Source organism: Homo sapiens, chromosome 16 (assembly GCF_000001405.40).
Source record: "Homo sapiens chromosome 16, GRCh38.p14 Primary Assembly".
NCBI lineage: Eukaryota > Metazoa > Chordata > Mammalia > Primates > Hominidae > Homo > Homo sapiens.
This window is the reverse complement of record NC_000016.10, coordinates 48,360,531-48,387,623: the sequence shown is the minus strand read 5'-3', so window position 1 is coordinate 48,387,623 and position 27,093 is coordinate 48,360,531. Positions and strand designations below refer to the sequence as shown.

Here is a 27,093-nt window from a genome sequence, read left to right as displayed (position 1 = left end):
TCCAGATGTGGCCTGAAAATATTTGTCACCGTTACTGAAATCCCATCAATTGGAGGATTATTTGGATAGGCTTTACAGTTTACAAAATGCTTTTCTATGGATAAACTGTCAAGGAAGCAGAGTCAACTCCCTGTTCAGAAAAGGTGCTTAGTTACCCCCACAGTGGAGCTATTTTCTTTCAAATGGAAGGTACATTTTTTTGAGAGGGGGAGTAAATTAAATTTATAATGGTGATGTTTATGTCCCACCCATAGCTACCACCCAGAATTAACCAAATCAGATTGAGCCCCGCCCAAATCTAGGTAGGAATTCTCAGAGATGGAATTAACCCGATTAAATTTGTTTTGTATAAAAGGGAAGTGGGGAAAGTAAGAAGTAACTTGGACTCTTCTAGAGGAGAGCAGGCACAAACTAAGCCAAGAAAAGCACGTTTGAGAATTCCAGAGGCAGAAGTTGCTTCTGGGTGCCTGACGTCAACGATCCAGCACTTCAAGACTGGTGTGCGGCATCCTCAGGGGACACTGTGTCCTGGGCACCCCTGCAGTTTAAGAGAATCCACTAGTTTATAAGGTAAGTCCTCGACTGTCAGCAGTGGGCCAGAGACAGACTGTTATTTTCAGATGGACAAATGCTGTTGGGTAGAGGAAGGGATGCGGGATAAGGAGGACAAAATCTGACTTTGGCAAAGCCGGGTGTTTAGAACTTTAATCGCCACGTTGGCAAGTTCTCTCTTAGTCCGTATCCATTTCACTGCTTGCAGAGCGGCCCAGGGGTTCTGGGGGCGAGAAACACATCTCACCCCAGAGCTGCTCCTCGCCCAGGACAGAACTCCTCTGCCCTTCACGACCAGGTCAAGGCCACATGGCTATGCCAAGCACATAGTCTGTAAAAATGGAAAATTTACCTCTAAACTGAAGTGAACCGAACTCTATTGACCTTCCCGTGTACTGAGGAGCTATAACTTCTCCCCAAAAATGTGAAAGTAAAATTGCAGTTTAAATCATGTAATTAGGAATACTGTAAACTAGTGTTTTGCACATATAAACTTTATCATACACTGGGAATTTGTACATACGTGCCCGGTATGGGATTTTTCTATTTTTATTTTTATTTTTTTGAGACAGAGTCTCGCTCTGTTGTCCAGGCTGGAGTGCAATGGCCTGATCTCTGCCTCACTGCAACCTCTGCCTCCCGGGTTCAAGCGATTCTCCTGCCTCAGCCTCCGAGTAGCTGGGACTACAGGCGTGCACCACCACGCCCGGCTAATTTTTGTATTTTTAGTAGAGATAGGGTTTCACCATGTTGGCCAGGCTACTCTCGAACTCCTGACCTCAGGTAATCCATCGGCCTCGGCCTCCCTAAGTGCTGGGATTACAGGCGTGAGCCACCGCGTCCGGACGGAATACCATTTTAATAGATCTTACATGGAATTCCAGTTAGGGCTTGTAAATGTCTCAGATGCTTGCTTCTGCTCATAGCACCCATCAAAGAATTGCAAGTGATGTTTTCCTTTTATTATTTCAAGAAGTGGAATGCAGAGTCCCTAATTAGGGACTTTCCAGATGAGCATGGACACAGGAAAACGCGTGCTTCCCCATTACCCACTTTTCAGCTGAAACAAGCTTTTGAAGCTCGTCCCGCTGTTGCTGAGGAGCGGCTCAACCTCGGGAGAGGCTGGGACTCTCTTTAGGGGTGGGGTCCCGGTCGGCGGGCAGGGCAGCCGCTTTTTCTTTGGGACTGAGTGGAGTTGGGAAGGATCCGTGGAGGCGCTGGGCTAAATCAGCAGACAAAACAAGGGGGAGGGCACAAGGCCGCGGCGGCGGCCAGCCTGGGGCTCGCATCCCGCTGGGCGACCCCTCCGGCCGGAGCCGGGGGGGTCACGCGGCCCCGGAACAAAGCGCCGCGGGAGGAGCTGCCCTGAGCCGACGGGCAAGCGCTAGCTTCTCGCGGGCCAGAGCGCCACGTGCCAGGATCCGTTGAATGCGCGGTGCACGGGCGCAGCAACGGTAGCCGAGTAGCCCCCGCACCTACTGCCGCCTTTGGAGACCCGCACAGCTACGCCCGCGGAGGCCGCCGCCGGCCGCGCCAACGCCTGTGCGCCTGCGCGCCCGCGAAAGCCCCGCCCCCCCAGGCTCCCAGCGCGCGGGGCCGCGCCTCCTCATGGCCGCCGCCGCAGTGTGTGGTATTTAGCGGGGGCGCGCGGCGGGCTCGAGGACGCGCGAAACGGCGGCGGCGGCGGCGGCCAGGGGGGAGCCGGGGCGGCCGTTGCGGGGCGCGCTCTCGAGAGGCGGCGGCGGCCCAGGGTGTCCCGTCGGTCTCGGCGCCGGGAAGAGGCGGTGGCGCTGCCCGCGGTGGCGGGGGTTGGCGACGGAGCGCGTTGGTGCCAGGACCGGGGTCCGAGGCGCGCTCTCCGCCCACAGGTAAGTGGGGCCCGGCCTGAGGGAGGAGCCGGCGGCGAGGGGCTCTCCGACAGGCGGGCGCCCAGGCCCGGTAATGGCGGAGGGCGGGAAGGGCGGCCCGGCCGGGGCGCGGGCAGTAGTCGGCGCGGCGGCGCCTTTGTCTCGGCCGGAGTCGGGCCGCCCGGTCGAGCGCCGCCCCCCGCCCCTCCCCTGCCTTCAGCCTTCGCAAGCCGGCTCGCCCCCGCCCCTGGAGCCCCGGGCCCGGCGGGGTGGCGGCGGGGGTCGGCCCCGCGCGGCCGGGCCGAGGGCGGGGGAAGGGCCTCGGCGGCGGCCCGGCCCCCGCGCGCCCGGGAGGCGGGCCCGGCCGGGGGTGGCGCCCGGCGCGCCCCGCGCCCTCGTGCCGGCCTTTGTTGTGGAGGGTCCCGGGGTGTGCGGCCAACATGGCGGAGGTCAGCTGAGTGCGGGCAGCTGCCGGGGCCCTGCCCTCCCTCCCCCTCCTCCCCGCGGCGCCCGGAGGCCCGGGCCGCACCGCGCCGCTCGGCGGGCCTCGGCCTCCGCTCTCTGCCCCCGACCCCCGGCTGGAGCCGTCCGGGACGGGGCTGCGCTCTTCCTGCCGCTTCGGCCGGAGGCTTCATTGTGCAGTGGGAAGAATGCAGCCTCCTCCCTTGTTTATGTCGTTAGAGAGGAGAGCGCGTGAACGGCGTGCCGGGGAAGCTCTAGCTTATTATAAACCTGGCATTTCCTAGGGTTCATTTGCCGGGTAGTTTGGGGTCCTTTCTTAACTCTCCCAAATTTATAACTTAAAGTGAATAACCTGGGCCACTCCGATGCGTAGGTTCGTTTTCGCTGTCTGCCCGTTCCTGGAAAGATACATAATTTGTTTGCTCGGACATTCAGAAAAGTCCAGCTTGGGTGTTCGGAAAATCAGATTGTGTGTACTTCTTTTGCCAAAGTCATAGAGGCCATAAACAAACAGAGAGACATGGATACTGGATATGGGACGGTGTTCTGACTGTCCCTTCCTAGCAGTTGAGCATTTACCTTTGCTTATAGCGGCTGTCAAGGGTAAATTGTTAACTCTTCAGCAGTTGGATGTTGAGAGCACGGGCTGTGAAGTCCGACTGTCTGCTTTGGGTCAAATCCTGCTCCACTGGTTTGTGACCTTGGGCAGATACTTCTCTGTGCTTCGCTTTCCTTATCTGCAAAATGGGTGTAACGACAGTATCTACCTCAAGCCCTGTTGAGAATTGATGAGATGACAATAGGTGGACTGAAAGCAGTGGCAGCCCCATACTAAGTTCTCAACAAATGCTTACTGTTAAGACTGTAGTTTAATAGCTAAACTTACGAGGTTTTCTTGGCATGATGTGTTGGTATGATGAAAGTGCATAGACCAGAATTTGTGAAATCAGGTCACAGATCTTTAGTGCTGGGTTTTTTCTTTCAATGCATTTTGTTGTTAAAAAGGACAAGGAGATTTGTATGATAAATTAACAGACTTTCTGAGATGGTGGCATTTTGGAAATTGCTGTGGCCGGGGATTTGAATGGCTATATCTTTGTGATTAAAAAAAATCAAATTGATTAAAATGAGGTCTTCTCTTAGCTAGTTTAGATTTATTGATCAGTTCACTTTCAAGGACTTGAGTTAACCAACTTAGAAAAGTGGGACAGTGAATACTTGAGTGTGTATCTATGGTGTTACCATCACTTTTAGAAGTTACTGAAGAGCAGAATGTAGTGTGGTGGCAAATGTAATGGTCTGGTAATTTTATCTGGGAGTTGTTGGCTCAAATTATGGTGGAGAGGATTTTAATTAGTTGTTAGGAGGACTTTAGACTGGTAGATCTTGAGACTCAAAGTAGATTACACAAATTGGTTGTGTAGTGTTTCATTCTGAAAATTTAAATAAAGATACAGATTTCTGTAATCTTGGATGGTTAGTTGCGATTATATCCAGAATTTGTTCCCCAAAGTTTATGCCAAACAGTTTTTTTTTCGTTATTGGCATCTTTCCAACATAATTTACTAACATTTAATATTTTAAACTGAAATACGTATAATAGATGTGAAACTGATAACTTTTCAGGATAAGTATTCCACAAAGTACAAATTCAGAAACAATGTTAATGCATTTTACATCTGTTAAATATTAATCTATTCCCTCTAAGCTTCGGGAAGTTCTTACGAAATTGCTGTAGAGAAATATTCTTTCTTAATATCTGTAATTAAAAAGCATGATTAGGTTAAATTGGAGTTATGAAGGAATTATCTAGCTATGTCAGTAATGACATAAAATAACAAATAGGATTTTCAGTGAGTATGGTGTTTTGAAAACAGATCTTACATAACTAGGGTAACAAAGTTTAGTAATTTACAGAGTTTTAGGTGACTGCTTAAATTGTATTTTTAAGCAGTTGATTTACAAAATTTTTAAAGATTGGAGGTTCTTTGTTTAAAGAGATTTATTAACAGAATTTTGTGGAATTTCCATATTCGCTTTGTGAAATGTTAAAATCTAGATATTTTTTGTACAGCCCTCTCTTTCAACAAAATCTGTATGAAATCCCCAGAACCTTCCATCCCCCCGCCAAAAAAGGAAATTTTCCTTTTTACAATAAGTATCCTTAATAGTATTCTTCAAAATAGCAGGATGTCTAATGCACTTTAAATGATTTAGTTCCCATGGCTATAGTTACTAGAATATCTGCTGCATAAGGGCAAGAATTGTGTTTTTAATATATATCCTCAGTACCTAGTGCTCAGTAGGTATTTGTTTACTCACCTACTACTGTGCGTATTCTAATGACATTCAGATCTTTATTTTTATTTTTATTTTTTTTTGAGATAGTCTTGCTATGTTGCCCAGGCTGGAGTGCAGTGGTGATGTCATAGCTTATTGTGGCCTCCAACTGGGCTCAAAGGTTCCCCCCACCTTAGCCTCATAAGTGGCTGGGACTAGGAGCATGTGCCATCACACTGGGCTAATTTTTTAAAAAGTTATTTTGTAGAGACCAGGTCAGGTCTCGCCATCTTGCCTAGGCTGGTCACAAACTCCTGGGCTCAAGTAATCCGCCCACCTCGGACTCCCAAAGTGCTGAGATTACAGGTGTGAGCTGCTGTGCCTGGCCTCCAATCTTTTTGCCTGCTGAGATGTAGACCCATATATCCCCTTATGCAGATTTTTTTAATTGACTTTATTTTTTAGAGCAGCATTAGGTTCATAGCAACTTGAGTAGAAGAGACAAGAGATTTCGCGTGTAGCCCCTGCCCCTACACGTGTAACCTCCTCCATTATCAACATTCCCCGCCAAAGTGGTACGTTTGTTACAATTGAGGAACCTACATTGACACACCATTATTACCCAAAGATTATAGTGGCGTACATTTTATGGGTTTAGACAAATACATAATGACATACATGAATGCTTTCACCACCCTAGAAATCCTCTGACTTCCACCTATTTGTCCCCACACCCCCAACCACTTATCTTCTTTCTTTTATTGTCACCATAGTTTTGCCTTTTCCAGAATGTCATATGTGTAACTGGGCTTTTAAAATATGTAGCCTTTTCACATTGGCTTCTTTCACTTAGTAATATGCATTTAGGTTTCCTCCACGTCTTTATGGCTTGGTAATTCATTTCTTTAGGGCTGCATAATAATCTGTTGTCTAGATGTACCACAGTTGGTTTATCCATTCACCTACTGAAGGATGTCTTGGTTGGCTTCGAAGTCTTGGCAATTCTGAATAAAGCTGCTGTAAACGTCCATTTGCAGGTTTTTGTGTGGCCATGAGTTTGTAACTCCTTTGGGTAAATGCCAAGGAATGTGATTGCTGGATCAGATAGTAAGAGTTTAGTTGTTTTGCTGCTGTTTTTTTGAGACAGTCTCACTCTGTGCCCTGGGGTGGAGTACAGTGGCACAATCTCAGCTCACTGCAACTTCCACCTCCTGGGTTCAAGTGATTCTCGTGCCTCAGTCTCCTGAGTAGCTGGGATTACAGGCGCCTGCCATGACGCCCAGCTAATTTTTGGATTTTTAGTAGAGGCAGGGTTTCAACATGTCGGCCAGGCTGGTCTTGATCTCCTGACCTCAGGTGATCTGCCTGTCTTAGCCTCCCAAAGTGAAGAGTATCTTTAGTTTTGTAAGAAATTGCCAAACTGTCTTCCAGATTGGCTGTACCATTTTGCATTCCTACAAGCAATGAATGAGCGTTCCTGTTGCTCTGTATCCTCGGCCGGATTTGGAGCTACCACTGTTCTGGATTTTAGCCGTTCTTTTTTTTTTTTTTTTTGAGACGGAGTCTCACTCTGTCGCCCAGGCTGGAGTGCAATGGCGTGATCTCGGCTCATTGCAACCTCCACATCCCAGGTTCAAGTGATTTCTCCTGCCTCAGCCTCCTGAGTAGCTGGGATTAGAGGCATACACCACCACGCCCGGCTAATTTTTCTTTTTACTTTTAGTAGAGACGGGGTTTTGCCATGCTGGCCAGGTCAGTCTCGAACTCCTGACCTCAAGTGATTCGCCCACCTCGGCCTCCCAAAGTGGTGGGATTACAGGCGTGGGCCACTGCGCCTGGCCTGTAGTGGTATCTTACTGTTTTAAATTTGCATTTCCGTGATGACATGTGATGTGGAGCATCATTTCATATGCTAGTTGTTATCTGTATATCTCTTTGGTGGGGAGTTAGTTAAGGTCTTTTTGACTCTTTTTTTTAGGTTGGGTTGTTTTGTTATTGGTGAGTTTTTGTTTTTTTTTTGTTTGTTTTTTTGGAGACAGAGTCTTACTCTTGTCCAGACTGGAGTGCGGTGGCGCCAACTCAGCTAACTGCAACCTCCGCCTCCCAGGCTCAAGCAGTTGTTCTCGTGCTCAGCCTGCTGAGTAGCTCCTGAGTAGCTGAGATTAGAGGAACGAGCCCACCGTGCTCGGCTAATTTTTGTATATTTAGTAGAGACGGGGTTTCGCCATGTTGGCCAGCCTGGTGAACTCCTGGCCTCAAGTGATCTGCCTGCCTCAGCCTCCCAAAGTGCTGGGATTACAGGCGTGAGCCACCGTGTTCGGCCAGGTTTGCATATTTTGGATAACAGTTCTTTTTTAGATACGTCTTTTGCAGATATTTTTTCTGTTCTCTATCTCAAAGCTGGCATTGCCTCTCTTCTTCACATTTACATTCATTTCCTTCTACCTTTAAGAGATCTCCTTTTGGTCTCCAGCCTTACAGTCAGTTTTCCTACTGCAGTTTAAGTGAGCTTTCTAATAGGTGAACCTGACTTAAAAGGCTTTCAGTGTAAAGTTCTAAGTTCTTGATATGGTTCGTAAGTACATAGCCTCTCCTGAGCTGGCCTCTCTTGTTACTCCCCTGCCATTTTGGACTTTACTTGCAAGCCCCTCTCATCCTATTAAGCTCTCTTATCTCAGCCTGGACATCACTAGCTGAGAAGCTCTTTGTGAACTCTGCACATTGAATTGGATGTCATCTCTGTGTTCCCATAGCACTCTGCTCGGTCCCACTGTAACATATCCTCCTGAATTATAATTTTTCTTTAGTTGTATGCCTCCCCAGATAGACTGTAATCTCTATGACGACTTGGTCATCCTTGTGTCTCAAGAGTTTAGGACTCTTTCTGGAACATAGGTGGTGCTCAGTAAAAAGTTATTGAGCGACTGACTCCACACTGTCCTTATTAAACTCTTCTAGCCTTTTCGTTGTGTTTTGTTTTTACCAAGGCATAGTGTTTCTTACAAACTTCTCTAGCCTTATTGCCTGTGTTTCCCCTTTGCCCTACCTAGGCCAACTGGGTTCTTTTGTTCCTTGAACACTGCTTTAGCATCTCTGTGCCTTTGGTCATGATTGTATTTAGCCTCTGAAATGTCTATTTGTGCTACTTTGGGTAGATTACTGAACCTCTCTAAGCCTTAGTTCTATTAGTACATGAACAGTTATTAAGTATATTGCTGTTCCCTGCCTTCCCCTCGCCCCCCCAGCCCCCATGTCCTAATGCTAGAGTGTCAGTATAATTAAGTGGCTAAGAGGACAAGCCCTTAAGAGTCAGATCTGGATGTGTCTCTTGGCTCTATCACTTATTAGTTGTGTTTGTGACTTTAAGTTCCATGAGAGCAGAGACACTGCCTACTTTGCATCTAAAAGCACATTGCCTAACACAGCAAGTGTTGTAAAAAGATTAGTTGTTGAGTAAGTTACTTCTCTAAATATTACCACTTACCTTCTAGTGAGGAAAGAAAGAAACAGAATTACAAATTGTGAAGTGTACTGTAAAGGAGTCAAAGTGCTGAAGAGACCAGTGGGGTGGAAGGGAGACCTGGTGTCCAAGGATAAGGAGCTCGCCCTTTGAAGGGGGAAGGAGTACATCTTAGATGGAAGATGCAGCCAGATAAAGGCCCCATGAAGTAGGGATGAATTTGGACTGCTCTAGGACCTGAGGAGTGTTGCTGGAGCAAATGGGTAGTAGAGAGAGACAGGTTGAAGAACTGTGCAGAGGGAAAGAGAGGAGAGATGCTGTGAAGTGTTAGCTGATATTAGCATCTGGCTGTTGTTCAAGGAGATTCTAGGAGAATACCTAGAGCAATATTAGGACTTTTATTTTCTAAATGTAAACTATTTTGTTGACATTTAGCCTAAATACATATGGAAAAAGTGCTCAAATCATGTGTACAGCTTGACATTTTCACAAAAGGAACGCTATTGTAACCACCTCCCAGATCGAAGAAACAAGGAGCCGCCCCCTTCACAGGAAACCACCTCTTGACTTTTTACACCATAGATTTATTTTGCCTAATTTTGTGCCTTATATGAATGGAACAGTAGAGTTTGTACTCTTTCATTCTTTTGTTGTTGTTGTTGTTGTTTTGTGACAAAGTTTCACTCTTGTTGCCCAGGCTGGAGTGCAATGGCACAGTCTTGGCTCACGGCAACCTCCACCTCCCGGGTTCAAGCGATTCTCCTGCCTCAGCCTCTCGAGTAGCTGGGATTACAGGCATGCACCACCACACTTGGCTAATTTTTTGTGTTTTTAGTAGAGATGGGGTTTCTCCATGTTGGTCAGGCTGGTCTTGAACTCCCAACCTCAGGTGATCTGCCTGCCTTGGCCTCCCAAAGTGCTAGGATTACAGGCGTGAGCCACTGCGCCCGGCCTGTACTCTTTCATTTCTGTTTGGCTTCTTTCACTCAACATTATGTTTTTTTGTGTGATTAAGGAGTATTATTTGCTTATCCATGACAAAGTTACCAGCTGAATAGCCATGTGTCCCAGTACTTCTTATTTTATTTTATTATAATTTTTATTTTTATTAGAGACGAGATCTCACTATGTTGTCCAGGCTGGTCTCAAACTCAAAGGCTTTAGCAATCCTGCCGCCTCGGCCTCCCAGATTGTTGGGATTACAGGTGTGAGCTGCCACACCTGGCCCTTCTTTTGTTTTTTAAGTCTTATTCTTTTCCCTGACCATCTCAAATACTTTCTGACCAGTATTTCTAGAACGATTTTTTTTTTCCTTAAATCTTCAGGAGGCTCAGCGTGGCGGCTCACGCCTGTAATCCCAGCACTTTGGGGAGGCCGAGGCTGGTGGATCACTTGAGGTCAGGAGTTCAAGACTAGCCTGGCCAACATGGTGAAGCCCTGTCCTTGTCTCTACTAAAAATAAAAAAATTAGCTGGGCATGGTGTCATCCCCCTGTAATTCCAGCTACTCGGAGGCTGAGGCAGGAGAATCACTTAACCCGGGAGGTGTAGGTTGCAGTGAGCCGAGATGGTGCCACTGCACCCAGCCTGGGCAACAGAACAAGACTCTGTCTCAAAAAAAAAAAAAAAAAAAGTCTTCCAGAACTTTAGGTTTAATGTTACAGACAAGATATGACCAGAATAAAGCTGGCAGAAACCTTCCATTAGGTTTGTGGTTGCCCAGTCATGTTTGAACTGACTTGTTTTTTTTGTTTTGTTTTGTTTTTGGTTTTTTTTGCTTATTCGTTTTTGTTTTGAACAGGGAGTCCGGGCACATGGAATAAACTAGAAAGAGAAAAACCTTTGGAGAACTAATTATATTTATAAAACAGATCTTGCCAGTGAGAAATATTTTCTTAAGGAGTTTAATGCCAGTCTTGAATTTTGTAGAAAATATTTCAGCGTACTTGGTATAGTTATTTATTAGTGTCACATCGACCACCTTGGTCTAGTGATGGTTGATACAGTAAATATAAGTGTATACTAGCTTCTCTGCAAAGACTCTACCTTGGAAAGATTACTTCAATAATTTATTTGACAAAATGAAGTAATCCTCTCCCTGTTAAAAACTTCTTCCTGGTTTCCTTCCTTTGTATTTCACATTAAATTTTGCCCTTTTGAATTTGGCCAGAACTCAGGCTTGTTGGGTAAGGTAGCTTTACTTCTAAAAACTTGTCAAGGGCCCTGATTTAGCTTTATTAGAACAACTTCGGATATCTTGTCTATACAGACGTTAGTTAATTTTTGCAGACTGTATTCTTTTGAGTTTGTGAGGGGAGGGGGGCTATCATAAATTTTGTTAACTTTTAAAATGTTTAAGATATTTTCAGCCGGGTGTAGTGCCGGGCGCCAGTAATCCCAGCTACTTGGGAGGCTGAGACGGGAGAATTGCTTGAACCTGGGAGGTGGAGGTTGCAGTGAGCTGAGATTGCACCACTGCACTCCAGCCTGGGCGACAGAGCGAGACTCTGTCTCAAGAAAAAATAAATAAGATTTTTTTTTATAGTATAAAATAAAATGTCTACAAAATATGTAGTTTTTTGTGAATAGGCTGGTTTTAAGTTTCCTGTAAGTATCCATCTATTTGAGGAATTTTGAGAAAAAAAGTGAAAGCAAGGAGAAAATCAGCTCTTGAATTCTGTATTTGATGTTCTGTAGAAGTTACTAGCAATTCATTAACAGAAAATGTGGAGATATGATAAAATGTGCATTAAAATTTTTAAGTGTAATATTTTTTGTTGCCAATAATTTTATGAAACATTGGAGAGATACCGAAATCCCTCCTCACCCCCAAACTATTATTTATAATCTGATTACTAAAAAGTAACCATCATAGACATTTTGGTGTAGTCTGGGTGTGCTTCACATTTTTTTGTTTTACTCAGCCAAAGATATTTTAAAGTTAGTTTCTTTGATCTGACCTAAATTCTTGTAGTTCTCATGATTATCATCTCTAAGAACTATATATGTTTGAACTGTGTACTGTAATTTCAAACGATGGAATTTGTGCCGACAGTCTCTGTTTCTTGGAGTTCTTGATGCTTTGTGTGCCTGTAGTTCAGTGGTCCCATCTCTCTCTGGTTTCTAATTCCAGGCTTGCTCTCCCTTTGTCTGATCCTGCATCTTAAACCATTAAACTACATTCTGCAGTTTGGATGTCCTTCCAGTTTCTTTTCTGTTTCATTACATGCTACATACATGCATACATACATGAAAATATATACATCAATGTGCATATCTATTATACTTACCTATTTTTTTCTTTTAACCTAAATGAAATTGTAATCTGTATATTCTGTAGCTTTTTTTCTCCCCCCAATTTGTTTTTTGTTTTTTGTTTTTTTTTGAGACGGAGTCTCGCTCTGTCGCCCGGGCTGGAGTGCAGTTGGCCTGATCTCATCTCACTATACCCTCTAACTCCTGCGTTCAAGCAATTCTCTTGCCTCAGCCTCCCTAGTAGCTGGGATTACAGGTGCCCACCACCATGCCTGGATAATTTTTGTATTTTTAGTAGAAACAGTTTCACCATGTTGGCCAGGCTGGTCTCCAACTCCTGACCTCAAGTGATCCACCTGTCTCAGCCTCCCAAAGTTGCTGGGATTACAGGCGTGAGCTACTGCTCCTCGCCTCTCTCCCCCCACCCCGTTTAAACAGTTGATTCTTACATGTTAGTAAGTCTGATGTATGAGTCCATTTTATTTAAAGAAGGCAGCACACAGTATTCTGTTGTGTGGACCATAATTTAACCACTTTCTTAGGATAGGGCTGTTTTCAGTTTACTATTACAAACAGGCATCCATACACACTCACTCCTTTGCCAACATTAGAGGATAGACTTTTTAGAGTCTCACTGTGTCGCCCTAGCTGGAGTTCAGTGGCACCATCTTGGCTCACTGCAACCTCCGTGCCCGGGTTCAAGTAATTATCTTGCCGTAGCCACCACTTTGACCTCTTTTAGCTGATTATTTTTGCATTTATCTTTGTCTTTAAATAACACGCCTCTATTGTTTCTAGATTTCAGTTTTTGGCTTTCTTTGTTGATTTCCGTTTGTGACTTTAACTCTTCTTGCCCCCATCACATGTGCATACCCTTCTCATTCCTACATTCCTAATTTAGTTAGTAACACTGCAGTTTTTTATTTGCTTATCCTGACTGTCAAAGTTATTCAGTTTGAGCCATGTAATAAACTGATTACTTCTTTCTCTGCATTTTTTAGTTTTTATTTTTGTAGGTAATATCTTTTTTCTTCCTTCCTATTTTGGCTTTGTTTTCTTCTGTGCTTACTGCTAATGCTACCTCACATTCCTTGCCGCTTGTCTAAATGTTCCATCAGGTTGTTTGGATGCCTTCAGTTGCCCTCTTCTAGCATAAAGTTGTCATTATCTTCAGTAGTTTCTTTACCTTTCTCCTAGATGCAGTCTTCTGTTTATTGTAACCCCGTTCTTTTTCTTGGTTATTTCCCTTGTATTTGAAGAGCTTATCTTCCAGGAGCTTCCTAAGAACATATCCAGGGGAGGTAGTATTTTGAAACTGCATCATCATTCTGCCCTCAACACTTTCGAGATAGTTGGGTATAGAATTCTAGGGCATAATTTTCTTTGAGAATTTTAAAAGCATTGTTCTGTTGCTTTCTGACTTTGGATGTTGCTGCCTGAAAGTCCAAAGTTCTTGTTTTCTGATGTATTTATTCATCCAAAAAATATTTATTGGAGTCTGTACTATGTGCCAGGCACTGTATTAAGTTTTTGGGATACATAATTGAGCCAGACAAAAATCCTACCTTCCAATTGAGGACAGTGGGCGCCTATAACAACAAATAAAAAATAATAAGTGAATTATGTAGTCTGTTAGAAGATAATACATTCTTTGCTGGGAAAAGAGTAGGAGGCGTGAGATGGGCCAAAGATTTAGGAGTACACAGAGGGGCAGTGGGCAGGGTGCCGCTTACTATTTTAAATAGAGGGTCTGAGTGAGTGTCATTGAATGTAACAAGTAAAGATTTGAAAGTTAGGGAGTTAGCCACATGGATATTCAGGAGAAAAGTATTTTAAGACACAGGCCCAAAGGAGCAACCTAGCATTGCCATTGAACAAGGAAGTCAGTGCAGTGAGTAAAGGGGAACAAAGTAGGAGATGAAGTCAGAGAGTAATGGGAACACAGCACCATACTGTATCCTTATACATAATGGCCCCTTGTGGGCTATTTTTAGGATTTCAGCTTTTACTCTAACATGGGTAGCCAGCGGAGGGTGTAGAGCAGAGATTTATGTCATCTGATATAAAACGGAGCTGGATTAATTAATCTAATTGCTGTGCTCAGAACATATTAGGTGGTGAGGGTGGGAGACATAGCTGGGAACAATGAGACTGGTTGGGAGGATATTGTGGTAATCCAGATGAGAGATACTGGTGGCTTGGACTAGATGGTAGTGGTAGAGGTAGGGAGGAATGGTTGGATTCTGAATACATTTTGAAGGGAGGTATAATAAGATTTCCTGACTGTTTTAGATGTATGTTGTGAAAGAGAAGAATCAAGGCTGACTCGAAGGCGCTTGACCTGAGTCACTGGAAGGATGGAGTCTCTATTAATTGAAAAAAGGAAGACTCTGAGTGGAGAGACTTTGGGAGGTGATAAGGAGTTTCTCTTTGGCCATCCCCCTGAAGGGGCAATTGGATTTACAAATCTGGGGTTTCAGACAAATCTGGAGCATTGTGTTTATTTTTAAAATCTGGGCTGGAGATGAAAATTTTGAAATCCTTAGCATGTTGATGGAATTTAAAACTAGGAGACTGAATGAGATCACCAAAGTACCAGTGTACATAAGAAAAGAACATCTTAGGGTGTAAGGGTGGGAGACAAGGATGGAAACAGAGAGACTGGTTTGGAAGAGATTACAGTAATTTATAGGCAGCTACAATTTCAATAATTTGGGGGAGAAGAGCAGGAATAAAAGGAAGCTGAGGAGTGACTGAGATAGGAAAACCAAGAGTATGTGAAGTCGGTGAACAGAGTTTATTAGGCAGGAGCCCAGTGATCCGTCAACTCTGTTAGGTGTTGCTGACAGTTCAAAACTTGCAATTTAAATACAAACAAAACCACAGAACCATTGAAATTCAAATTACTGATTCACTAAAATATTGGATACTGTCAGGCTGAATTTTAGTCTTAAAACTGCACTTATGGGATTGACTTACGGTTATGAAATTGACTGTTACCGGGCAGGTTCTTTTTGAGTTAAGCATACCTTAATTGCCCTGTATCATGTGGTCGTATGAAATCTTAATTTTTTCACTGACATACAAGTGCTTTAGTGGAAACCATGATGGCATTTAGGCTTTGCTTCACACAAATGAATTATTTATGTTATTAGATCGACCTCAGCTTTTCTCTAGCTTGCGTAGAGAAAATAGGACCAACTTAGAGCCAGTGTGGCCATAAATATGAATAGAGGCATTTAATTACATGGCTAACAGGTGTATTCAGATGATTCAGAATGTGTTGATACTGTTTTTTAGACTATTAAAAACATGAAAGTAAAATATTAAATTTTTAGAGAAATGTGAACTCCTTGTGAACAGAATCTTAGTTTGAGGGAAATTAATATAGGTTAATTCTTCTGTTACATCCTTAGTTGAAATAACTAAAATGGTTTGCCTGGAGTTTCAGGTGGTACTGCTTATGTCAACATAGATTGTAACTATTTCAGCTGAATATAATTGAATTTTAATAAGGCTCCATGATTTTTTAAAAGATGGCATTTCTTTCCTATAAATTCCATTACTTTTTTCTATTTTACTAGTAAAGAGCCATCAATCAAAATATATCAGACTCACTAATGTGACTTTTTACCCTGTTTCTTTAATTTCTTTAGTCTTCCTAGCAATATGCTCTTTTATGCTTAGTTTAGTATCCCAAATATAGATTACTGCTAATTTTGATCTGCTGTAAAATTTTTTTCTCTGTGTGTGTGTGTGTGTATACATACTTACCTACCAGATTTGTCAGATGTAATGTGAAGTTGAATGAATTATATGGTAGAGTGTAGAACTAGGTACCATGAATTTTATAAGTAAGGTTTTAAAAAGCACAGCTTAAATGCCAAGATGGAGTAAAAGAGCAAGCTTGCACTGGAATGTGAGAATTTTGTATCCTGAGAGAATATAAAACATAAGGTAGTAAATGGCTGTATTCAGATAACTAGGTAAATAGTATTTGAATGTTTTTATATAGACACTGAGACTTGGTTATATTGCAGATTAGTTTGTAATCAAGACTGATGTTTCAATAATTTTAATTTCAAGTGTGTTGCTAAAAAGTTTTAAGGTTATTTAAAAATTTTAGTAATGTGTGGTATGAAATAAAAAGTTGAAAAAGCCTGTTTGGCCCTCTGCCTGGTTCTGTTGCTCTTCTCTGCTCTTTCCTCTCCATGATACATACTTTGCTTTGATTTCATATCTAATGACTTAATGGCAGACTTAGAATATGTGATTCTATCACTTTGATGGAAAGTAAAGGTTTAATTTAAAGACTTTAGGAAGTTTATTTTCTTGACACATTTTTGTAAATATGGAAAAGATGTTTTGAATGCCAAATTAAATATTCCATACCAGGGTAAGTAAGGAGAACATACATGATTTTTTTAGGGTTATTCAAAAGAAGATGAGATTAGAGACAACAAAACATCTGGCTGTGCTCGTATTTATTTCAAGGCACTGTATTGCCCAGGCTGGAGTGCAGTAGCTATTCACAGACACAATCATGGTGCAGTACAGCCTCTTGGGCTCACCTGATCCTCCCTCTTCAGCCTCTTGAGTAGCTGAGACTACAGGCATGTGCCAGCTTGCTCTTACTTTTTTTTTTTTTTTTTTTGAGATGGAATTTCACTCTTGTTGCCCAGACTGGAGTGCAATGGCACGATCTTGGCTCACTGCAACCTCCCCCTCCCGGGTTCAAGCGATTCTTATGCCTCAGCTTCCGTAGTAGCTGGGATTACAGGCACCTGCCACCACACCCAGCTAATTTTTGTATTTTTAGTAGAGACAACTTTTTACCACGTTGGCCAGGCTGATCTCAAACTCCTGACCTCAAGCGATCCCGCCAGCCTTGGCTTCCCAAAGTTGTTGGGATTACAGGTGTGAGTCACCATGCCTGTCCTTGAAATTTGTTTTTTTTTTTTTTGAGATGGAGTCTTGCTCTGTCGCCCAGGCTGGAGGGCAGTGTCGTGATCTGGGCTCACTTCGAGCTCCGCCTCCCGGATTCACGCCATTCTCCTGCCTCAGTCTCCCGAATAGCTGGGACTACAGGCGCCCGCCACCGCGCCTGGCTAATTTTTTGTATTTTTAGTAGAGACGGGGTTTCACTGTAGTCTCGATAACCTGACCTCATGATCCGCCCACCTCAGCCTCCCAAAGTGCTGGGATTACAGGCACGAGCCACCGCGCCCAGCCGAAATCTATTTTCTTAAGTAAGGTGGGGATAAATGTCTAACTTTGGTCATTGGAAAGGTTAAATGAGAACATATGTAAACCATTGAGTCTACCTGGCACTTAGTAGGTGCTTAATATGTGTTTGGGGCAGTTCTTCATTAATGAAGAACTGTGTTTAGCTTGCTGACTCTGGAACCCGTTGAGACTAGCAGCAAGACCAAAACCAACAACCAAGGTCCAAGGAAAGACGAGAAAATTAAGCATGAAAATTTATATAGAGGGGTTAAGGAGTTACAAGAGTAATGTAATAAGAATTTATGTGGCTCTTCCTACTTAAGGGAAAGGGAAGGGAGTGGCCATTCTTGCCATCAGTCTCTGTTGGCTTGCTGGAGATTGAGGATACCTATATATTTTGGAAAATGCTTTAGCATATCAGAAGGTTATCTGCAAAGGGTTGAGAATGAAAATGGCATTAGGCTTTTCTTTCACTTACATCATTGAATAGCAGAAGACAGTGGGCATAGCTTACTTAGTTCTTAGAGAAGAGAGTTGTGACCAGGATTGTAAGCTGTGGAATTTATGCAAGAGCTTCAGACTTAGACTAAGATGGAGAGTTAATCACTTACGTAATCCTTTCAGAAACTTTCTTTGAAGTATTGTGATCACACCACAAAATTAAGGATTCAGGTGTAGTTAGGTTTGATTAATTGCTTTGACAAAGTTAGGAGCTTAGTACAATCTTTATTGTGCCTAGTGGGAAAGGGAAAGTTTTACTATTGGCATGTTGAAGGGCTTGCATTGTTTTAGGGGGATCTTACACTTTATTTATTCTTTCCCAGACAGGGTCTCACTCTGTTGCACAGACATAGCTCATTGCAGCCTTTACATCCCAGGCTCAGATGAGCCTCCCACCTCAGCCTCCCAAATAGCTGGCTCTACAGCGGATGCCACCACACCCAGCTAATTTTTTTGTATTTTTTTTGTGGAGATGAGGTCTCAGTATATTGCCTAGGCTTGTCTCAAACTCTTGGGCTCAAGTGATCCTCCCACCTCAGCCTCCCAAAGTGCTGGGATTACAGGTATGAGCCACCAAACTCCATGTATATCTAATGTTTAGCTTGGGTGGAAGCCTCAAAATAAAGTGACTTAGCAAGTGTTGTATTTTGCTTTGAACACATTTAAGTCGGGATTTGCCTTTCCTCTTTGTCTTCTGTTGACAGCAGCTTTCCTGGGTTTCCCTCATCTCCAGTAATCAATCTTTCTATACCTATTCAGTGTAACTTCTTCTGTAGCTGCAAAGTTTTCAGAATTATCTTCAGGAAAAATGGAGGTTTTAGGAAAAACATACAATTTTTAAGAAATCATTTTATTGCTTTGCTACAGTTCTGGAAGCTATAGATTGTTTAATTTATTGTCCTTATAACAGTGTTTGATTTTTTAACTTTTGGCATTTTAACTTGTTGAATTTTTAAGAGACTTGCTTTGATTTTGTCATTGTGTAAGAAGCAAGTAAGTCTTCAAATAGAAGCAATGTTTAATTAACATTTTAACGTAAAACATTTTCTACATAATACCTGCCACAATGTCAAATGAGTTTGGAAAATACCCTTTTAACCTAAAGGCATTCTGGGAACAAGAAAAGCCTTAAGTGTTTTGAATGGAGGAGTTTTATTTAATTAAGATTTCTAATGGAAAGAGCAAATTTGTAATCTGATACCTATAATTTTATTTTATATTTTATTGTTTCTAAGAATAATTTTTGTTTTACTAGAGATGGGGTAGTGATAATTGCATCCTACCCTTTCTTTTTTTTTTGAGATGGAATCTTGCTCTGTCGCCCAGGCTGGAGTGCATGCAGTGGCACGATCTTGGCTCACTGCAGCCTCCGCCTCCTGGGTTCAAGTCGATCTTGGCTCACTGCAGCCTCCGCCTCCCAGGTTCAAGTGATTCTTCTGCCTCAGCCTCCCAAGTAGCTGGGATTACAGGCACACGCCACCATGCCCGGCTAATTTTTGTATTTACTTAGTAGAGACAAAGTATCACCATGTTGGCCAGGATGGTCTTGAACTCCTGACCTCAGGTGATCCACCTGCCTTGGCCTCCCAAAGTGCTGTGATTACAGGCGTGAGCCACCACGCCCAGCTGTTTTTTGTTGTTGTTGTTTTTTACTAAATTAAGAATAAACATGTTTTACTTTTTGCTCATTTTGACTGTTTTCACAGTTGTTAATCAGACTAATCTTTATAAAGCAGTTTATTGTCCCCTTTGGAGAAAATACAGCTAAAAATCACCAGTATCCTCATATAGGTAACTGATTCATTGGTCTGATGTTGTAGCCCTCTTGGTTTCTCACCCCGTCCCTCACGTCTGTGTTCTATTTGTAACTTCATTTACAATATATTATGATTTTTTTCCATATCTGACTACATTTCTCCATTTTAAACTTTTATAAGTAATTTATAAAAGGAAACAAAGATTACCACGTGGAATTGAGAATAAAAGTTTATCTTTCTACTGTTAAGTATGCTAAGGTGGTAAAGCAATGGCTGAATGCTCTGAAATTACTAAGACAACATTAAAGGCTGATTCTAAAATGTTTTTGTTTAGATTGACATCTACTTAAACTATATACCAAACTGGGCTTGGGACGTAGGCTTTAGAAAGTGTAGGTAATAGTGCATTCTTGCTAAGTTTTGGATTTTTGCCAGTTTTGGATTCTATGGGCTTGTCTTAAGGTACTTCTGTGAACTTTTCAGCTTTTTGTAAAACTAGTGTAAATATTCTACCTAGTTGAGAATTAAGGTTTATTGTGCTAAAAATTAAATGGTGGTTGATTCTTGGCAGACATGTTTGATCACCTTTGCAAGGTTAAGGCATCTTTTGGAGTGTGTTTCTTGGAATCTACAAATTCTGAGTCTGTGACTAATTGATGACTTGGCAATTAAATCAGGTCTCAGCTGAAAACTTAAATATTCTGGAATATGTACCATCCATGATACACATAAATTACCCATCTCAATCTAGACAAAAGCCAGTTGAGGCTGGAAACAGTCCAGTTTTACAGCTCAACAACTGGTGGAGCCGGGGTCTGAATCCAAGTGTAGATGACTCTAGAATGCTTCCACTTTTCTGACTTAATTAAGTAGAGGGGCCTGTCCATAGATCAGTGGTTTTCAGAGTGTGCTGTAAGGCTCTGTACAGATCTTTTGGAGTTTGGTAAACAGTGAAATATCTTTTGCTTGAGAAATAATCAGTCATCTTTTTGTTGTATACATTTTGGTTCTGTTTGGAAGAGTTTCTCTATATGAAATTTTCTTCTCTAGGGAAATTTAAGACCTGTCGAATGAAAAAATATTAGAAAATAAAAATATAGACTGGGCACAGTGGCTCAGCACTTTGGGAGGCCAAGGCAGGCTGATGGCTTTAGCCCAGGAGTTCGAGACCAGCCTGGGCAACATGGGGACTCCCTATCTTTACAAAGAAAATTAACGAGAGTGGTGGTGCCAGCCTGTGGTCTTAGCTACTGGGGAGATTGAGGTGGGAGGATTGCTCGAGCCCAGAAGACCGAGGCTGCGGTGAGTGGAGATTGTGCCACTGCACTCAGACCTGGGCAACAGAGTGAGACCCTGTCTCAAAAAAAAGGAAAAAAAGTAGTTGTGGGGCTGACTGTGTCTATTTTCAATTATATTTCTTTTCCTAATGCTGTTTTGTGTAGCCTGTATTGTAAAACGAGGTTGAGGTGATTGAACACACTTAATAGAGTGAGGAAGTGGTTAGAGTTAAAATTTCCTGCTGAAAGTGGGTAATCTGCAATTCCTTGCATTGGGTTCACTCCTCACTGCCAACTCTTGCTGCATTTTGAGGCTGCCCTAAGCATGATGTAATGACAGGTTAAACCTCTGCACGCACTAGCTGATGCAATGCAAATCTGAGGCGCAGGACTTTATTGGGGCAAGGGTAGTGCTTGTTTAAAAACAAAACAAGCTACTCTGCGTTTAATGAGGCCATTTAAGATGGCTTTCCCAGAGTGGGAAGAGAGTATAATCTCTTAGGAGGTTTAAGTAGGAGTTTAATGTGGCAGAAGTGTGCTTACTACTTTTCCTGCAAAGTCTTTTCACAGTGGGTAAGGAGAGTTTAAAATATAGTGCTGATAGGAGTAGAAATGAAGTGAGCTAGAATTGAGGAAATATGGTAGTTGATGCCCGGTAAATAGCCGTTGAATGAATTAGGGAGAATGTTTTCACTCTAAAAATTTAGAGTTCGCACGATAAACCTGGAGCGTAGCGCCAGTGTGGCCACGCATTTCCCAGATACGCTGTAGCTCTTAGATCGAAACCATAAGAAACTGCCGATATTCGACTGTTCTGACCTACCGAAAATAGCGTGGTTCCACCTAATTTTAAACTGGTGGAAATGCTGAGGAAGGTTCGATGTCGCTGGGGTGGGATGGGGTCAACGGCGGGGTGGCGGGGGCTCCCCCACGCCCCCGGCCTTTGGCTGGGGGGCGGGGCTTGCGGGCACGGCCCCACCCTTGCGCGAGCAAGACGGGCATCGCCCTGTGCGCCGCGCGCCCTGAACTGGCCCTGGCGCCCCGGGTTGGAGTAGGCGTTCCCAACGCAGGCCCAGCCCCGGCCGAGGCTCCAAATGGCTCTCCCGGCAGGCAGGCTCCTGCAGTAACTCTTGAGCTGGCTCAGGGAGCGCACTTCCTTCTCAGCCAGCGCGTCGCCCCCTGCATCCGTGGCCTCCACTGGAGCTGGGCAGGACCCTACCCAGTGAATCTGGAGAAAACAAACTTGGGAGACAGACGAAAGCTTAGGGCACATTGGAGGACAGCGCAGCTGTGGCTCCCATTTTTGGAGATGCAGTCGAATTTGAGCTCACAGGGAGGTGTGGTTGCCTCCTGGGGATGGAAAGGCTTCCTTTCTCCACCTCTGTAACTGGTGCTTCTGAGAAGTAAATGGTATTTGGATCCTGACCTCAGACGCGAATTTGGGTCTTCTGTGCTTAGGAGCAGAAAGAGCCCAGGAGGGGCCTGTTCCTTTACTTCTTGGGGGAAACGCAATGCGTGGCCTGACTTCTCATGACGGGAAAGGCTACTCCACCTTCTCTGTACTCCTGGAGGGGAGTCTTGTTCACATGTTTACCAGCGGCCAGGACAAGGAAGAGAAAAGGTATTGACATTAAGAGGATGGTTTGCTGAGGCTGTGAAACTTGAACGCTATTAGTCAGTGGAACCTGCCTGGCTTAGGGAATGGCTGCAGCAGAATCGAGACGTTTCCGAGGTTCTCAGTCATGTTTCATTTGGGCTGCTGTTCTTTTTTCTGTTTAAATCAAACTTCAGGTTACGTCATGACTTCTGCAGGGCTGTCCTTGGTTCCTACTGCAGGGCGCCTGTGTGGTTGGGATTCCTTTTCTGTTTCAAGATGGAGCTGGGTTCCACCCTTGGAGCTTTGAGAGGCTTTAGCAGTTGCTGTCCTGTAATACCTCCGTTCCCAAGAAATACCGTTCACATTTCGCTTCTTTTTCACACTTTGAATAGGAGTTAAAATGTGCTTTCTGTAGTGTTTGGAAAATGGCAAAGATATATTGTAATGTGAGCCCGAACTGTTGTTGATAAATGTATAACTATTGCTAGGTCAAGAAATTGTGAACAACAGTGTTTTGCTTGGTCCGTAGCTATATTGTGTTAAATATAAACTGAGTTTACTGCCCTTGGATGTGATTCTTTGGTTTGATTTAGTAATTTGAAAGGCATTGGTTGACTAGACTGTTTTTTGCCCAAGGAACCACTTTGTAATTGTTACGCTGCTTACTGAAGTAAACTGGACCATGCAGTAGGCATACAGCATACAGCCAGGGTGTTTTGGCAATGCTGAGCCCACTGTTTTACAAGTGACATAAAATGGATGTCATATGTACAAAGAATCTACTGAGAGGGAAACTGGATTACAGGAGAGCTCCCTTATAGTCCTTTGTCAGGGGACAGAATACCTGGGTCACACTGGGCTTCAGATTGAGAGTTGATTCATGTTCTGAGTCCATATGATGAGACACATTACGATGGAATTGTCACTTTTGTTGCCTCTGGAACTTTAAAATACCCGTTTAGTGACGTGGAATTAATCTTTATTTTTTCCGTCACCCTCAGCCCTCATTTAAGCTATCAGTTGGTAACCACTTGGGTAATCTAAACCTAAGTTGCATTTATTTGGTCACATTGGTAACCAACATTGCTTCTTAAAAGTTCCTTGCAACAGAATGACTATAATTGAGATAAAACATTAATTTTGAGGCTTTAATTTTGTAATATGGATTAGTGGCCGGGCGCAGTGGCTCATGCCTGTAATCCCAGCACTTTGGGAGGCCGAGGCGGGTGGATCACGAGGTCAGGAGTTCGAGACCAGCCATGGTGAAACCCCGTCTCTACTAAAAATACAAAAATTAGTCGGGCATGGTGGCGGGCCCCTGTAATCCCAGCTACTTGGGAGGCTGAGGCAGGAGAATTGCTTGAACCTGGGAGGCAGAGGTTGCAGTGAGCCGAGATCGCGCCATTGCACTCCAGCCTGGGCAACGAGCAAAACTCCATCTCAAAAAAAAAAAAAAAAAAAAAAAAAAAAGATTATGGCTTAGTAGAGTTACTAGGAGTGCAGTCTTAGGACATTGACTGATCTTTTTTTTCACCCCCAAGACAAATAGTGGCCTGCCATTTTCCAGCCCAGGTAGCTTCCTGGGAAAAGTTGCTTGTTTTATCTTTGACTCAGCCTGGCTAGTTACATTGTCGATTATTTCTTCCAGATGATATTTACCTGTTAAATAATGTTTATTACTCTGCTGATGAATGTTTTCAGCAACGCTGGAGAACCCTAGGCTGCAAGGGGTTCTTCACCTGTTGACTCCATCCCCCACCCCCAGTATGGCATATATCTCTGCCGTGCTATCATCTTTATTCTTTCCTTTTTCATTGTCTCTTCCTGACTGTCCTCCTTTGTTCATTATGTCTGACACATATTGTGGATTGAAAGTAGAACAGAAAGATATACTTTCTCTACCAGACTAAAAAGTTTTGAGATGGCCCTCCATTTCTCCCATGCCTCACTTCACCTTAGTTGTGTTTTTATTTATTTTTATATTTTCGCCACCTTCACTAGCGAGTACATCCCCTCACTCTTGAGGTGGGCACTGATCAGTAGGAAATAAGATTAATACCTGGCTGGTGATAATTTGGGGGGAAGACTTAATTAGATAGAGATGGATAATGGGATGGCAGCAGACCTTTCCCCTTGTGACCCTTCCCCTCATTTCCAAAATACACCTCTAGAGTAGATAATTGCTTACCATTAAGAAGAGTTAATGGAAGGTGATACTCTGATTCTTTGGCATTGGAACTACATTCAATCCGCGGTATCCTCGGATTAGTTCTAGGACCCCCTTCTCCATACCAAAACCTGAGGATGCTCAAGTCCCTGATAGAAAATGGTGTCATATTTGTATGTGCATATTCTCTTGTATAATTTAAGTGATCTCTGGATTACTTAATACAATGTAAACAATATGTAAATAGTTGTTATAGACTGTATTTTAAAAATTTTGTATTCTTTATAAATTTTTCTGAATATTTTCAATCCATGGCTGGTGAAGTCCTCGGATGCAGACCGTGTGGATACAGAGTGCCGATTTTATACAGGAGTTCACCTGTAACTCCCTGTACCTATCAACAGCTGACTCCAAATTAGAAAGAAATAGAGTAAGGGAGCCTCAGGGAGAGTCCTAGCAAAACGGATTCGATTAAACTTCAGTTCCTTGTATAGTTTCTTTAGTTGTTTATGGTCCATTTTCTATTTTAGCATTTATTATTCTATGTAGTCTATCCAAAGACGATTAAGGGAGTTCCACATGTTTTCCGGAACATTTTGAAAAGAGAGCTTATCCAGTGTACAGATCCTAATAAAGTGCACATTCAGTGTAATTTTATTTTTTTAATATCTTTTTTAATCCTATTTTTCTTCCTCTTTTGCTCAGTAAATTTTGTATGAAACTTTAAAAGGACTTATGGCATGTAAACATTATTTATAAAGTAAGTCATGGTTATAATTATTTTTCTCCTGCCTCCTTATGTATTTATTTCAGAAATGAGCCGTCAGACTGCTACAGCATTACCTACCGGTACCTCGAAGTGTCCACCATCCCAGAGGGTGCCTGCCCTGACTGGCACAACTGCATCCAACAATGACTTGGCGAGTCTTTTTGAGTGTCCAGTCTGCTTTGACTATGTGTTACCGCCCATTCTTCAATGTCAGAGTGGCCATCTTGTTTGTAGCAACTGTCGCCCAAAGCTCACATGTTGTCCAACTTGCCGGGGCCCTTTGGGATCCATTCGCAACTTGGCTATGGAGAAAGTGGCTAATTCAGTACTTTTCCCCTGTAAATATGCGTCTTCTGGATGTGAAATAACTCTGCCACACACAGAAAAAGCAGACCATGAAGAGCTCTGTGAGTTTAGGCCTTATTCCTGTCCGTGCCCTGGTGCTTCCTGTAAATGGCAAGGCTCTCTGGATGCTGTAATGCCCCATCTGATGCATCAGCATAAGTCCATTACAACCCTACAGGGAGAGGATATAGTTTTTCTTGCTACAGACATTAATCTTCCTGGTGCTGTTGACTGGGTGATGATGCAGTCCTGTTTTGGCTTTCACTTCATGTTAGTCTTAGAGAAACAGGAAAAATACGATGGTCACCAGCAGTTCTTCGCAATCGTACAGCTGATAGGAACACGCAAGCAAGCTGAAAATTTTGCTTACCGACTTGAGCTAAATGGTCATAGGCGACGATTGACTTGGGAAGCGACTCCTCGATCTATTCATGAAGGAATTGCAACAGCCATTATGAATAGCGACTGTCTAGTCTTTGACACCAGCATTGCACAGCTTTTTGCAGAAAATGGCAATTTAGGCATCAATGTAACTATTTCCATGTGTTGAAATGGCAATCAAACATTTTCTGGCCAGTGTTTAAAACTTCAGTTTCACAGAAAATAAGGCACCCATCTGTCTGCCAACCTAAAACTCTTTCGGTAGGTGGAAGCTAGACACATGAAGGTAAATAAAAAGAAAGGCTGTTAAATACAGGAAACAGTTGCATGTAGTAACACTAATATATTTAAAAATAAGTCAACAGTAAACCACTGAAAAAATATATGTATATACACCCAAGATGGGCATCTTTTGTATTAAGAAAGGAAGCATTGTAAAATAATTCTGAGTTTTGTGTTTGTTGTAGATTGATTGTATTGTTGAAAAAGTTTGTTTTTGCGTGGGAGTGTGTGCCTGCGTGGGTGTGTGCGTGTTTGGGTTTTTTTCCTTTAACTGACAAGCCATCTTGAGTGGTCATGGGCCACTGCTTTTCCCTTTGTGAGTCAATACATAGTGCTGCTGTGTGCTTTTTTTGTGTGTATTTGCTAATTTTTATTAATTTTAGTTTTTCATTAAATAAATTTGACTTTTCTGTAATTCAGGTTTTTCCTTTTTTTGTACCATTTTAAAGTTAGTATCTTTTGATATGCATATTTGTTTATGGTAAAAAATTTATAACGTGTTCAATATTTTCTTTTCCCCCATTAATCAGTTCATTAGAAATATTTTAAAATCAGCTATTTTGTGAAGCCATGAGTTCCAGAAAGTAAAGGTGACATCGGAAAAATAATCAAAAGCTATTTAAAGCATCTATAAGGTGCTCTCTTTCTGTCTTCTACAGATGAGTCACACCTTTGAGCTTAATCTTTGAAAGGTTAGAGAATAAATTGATTTTTATAAATACTGCAAATCAGGCTTTTGTTTCCTTTTTCAGATATCTTGGACAAATCACATATTTTAAAATTTGTTCTTGTATTTATTGGTTTTGCAGAAGAAGGCATCGTCATGCACAGTATTTGTAATTAAAAGCAAATCATTTGTTTAAAAAGGCAGTTTGCAAAAAATGTTTTTGGTCTTTTATAATTCTCATTAAAAGAATATCTGGCAAATTAAAAAAA

The 27,093-nt window shown here is 42.8% G+C and overlaps 2 protein-coding genes across 6 annotated transcripts in view, besides 7 other annotated features; one reads left to right on the top strand and one right to left on the bottom strand.

Moving 5' to 3' along the window:
* SIAH1 (siah E3 ubiquitin protein ligase 1) lies at nt 378-27,093 on the top strand. Of its 4 annotated transcripts, none has more exons than XM_006721246.3 (2): nt 378-570; nt 25,194-27,093. In XM_006721246.3, exon 2 carries the CDS (start codon nt 25,196-25,198, stop codon nt 26,042-26,044), a length of 849 nt encoding a protein of 282 aa, XP_006721309.1. In that variant the 5' UTR covers nt 378-570; nt 25,194-25,195; the 3' UTR covers nt 26,045-27,093. The 4 variants fall into 4 exon arrangements, with proteins under 4 accessions (XP_006721309.1, NP_003022.3, XP_024306163.1 ...); NM_003031.4 differs by lacking the exon at nt 378-570 and adding an exon at nt 2,211-2,420; XM_024450395.2 differs by lacking the exon at nt 378-570 and adding an exon at nt 2,755-2,848.
* Nucleotides 1,783-2,602: a silencer, noted in NCBI's record as "silent region_7456". NCBI's record gives its function as "represses an Ori minimal core promoter by ATAC-STARR-seq in GM12878 lymphoblastoid cells {active_cell/tissue: GM12878}" and the evidence as "EXISTENCE:reporter gene assay evidence [ECO:0000049][PMID:35858748]".
* Nucleotides 2,703-2,772: a silencer, noted in NCBI's record as "silent region_7455". NCBI's record gives its function as "represses an Ori minimal core promoter by ATAC-STARR-seq in GM12878 lymphoblastoid cells {active_cell/tissue: GM12878}" and the evidence as "EXISTENCE:reporter gene assay evidence [ECO:0000049][PMID:35858748]".
* Nucleotides 2,863-3,132: a silencer, noted in NCBI's record as "silent region_7454". NCBI's record gives its function as "represses an Ori minimal core promoter by ATAC-STARR-seq in GM12878 lymphoblastoid cells {active_cell/tissue: GM12878}" and the evidence as "EXISTENCE:reporter gene assay evidence [ECO:0000049][PMID:35858748]".
* Nucleotides 9,321-9,822: an enhancer, noted in NCBI's record as "H3K4me1 hESC enhancer chr16:48411713-48412214 (GRCh37/hg19 assembly coordinates)". NCBI's record gives its function as "activates a minimal SCP1, AML or CMV promoter by ChIP-STARR-seq in naive H9 embryonic stem cells {active_cell/tissue: H9 hESC(naive)}" and the evidence as "EXISTENCE:reporter gene assay evidence [ECO:0000049][PMID:30033119]".
* Nucleotides 21,310-21,739: a silencer, noted in NCBI's record as "silent region_7453". NCBI's record gives its function as "represses an Ori minimal core promoter by ATAC-STARR-seq in GM12878 lymphoblastoid cells {active_cell/tissue: GM12878}" and the evidence as "EXISTENCE:reporter gene assay evidence [ECO:0000049][PMID:35858748]".
* Nucleotides 21,310-22,109: a biological region, named in NCBI's record as "H3K27ac hESC enhancer GRCh37_chr16:48399426-48400088".
* Nucleotides 21,447-22,109: an enhancer, noted in NCBI's record as "H3K27ac hESC enhancer chr16:48399426-48400088 (GRCh37/hg19 assembly coordinates)". NCBI's record gives its function as "activates a minimal SCP1, AML or CMV promoter by ChIP-STARR-seq in naive H9 embryonic stem cells {active_cell/tissue: H9 hESC(naive)}" and the evidence as "EXISTENCE:reporter gene assay evidence [ECO:0000049][PMID:30033119]".
* LONP2 (lon peptidase 2, peroxisomal) overlaps nt 24,621-27,093 on the bottom strand; it is a 118,704-nt gene continuing 116,231 nt past the window's right edge. Inside the window, exons 17-18 of one of the 2 annotated variants that reach the window (XM_047434738.1) lie at nt 25,865-26,147; nt 25,028-25,770 (exon numbers count right to left, since the gene is read on the bottom strand). In XM_047434738.1, the coding sequence (XP_047290694.1) occupies nt 26,028-26,147 (120 nt within the window). In that variant the 3' untranslated portion in view covers nt 25,028-25,770; nt 25,865-26,027. Of the gene's footprint in view, nt 26,148-27,093 lie in introns of both variants that reach the window. The other variant, NM_001348078.2, reaches the window with a different exon arrangement.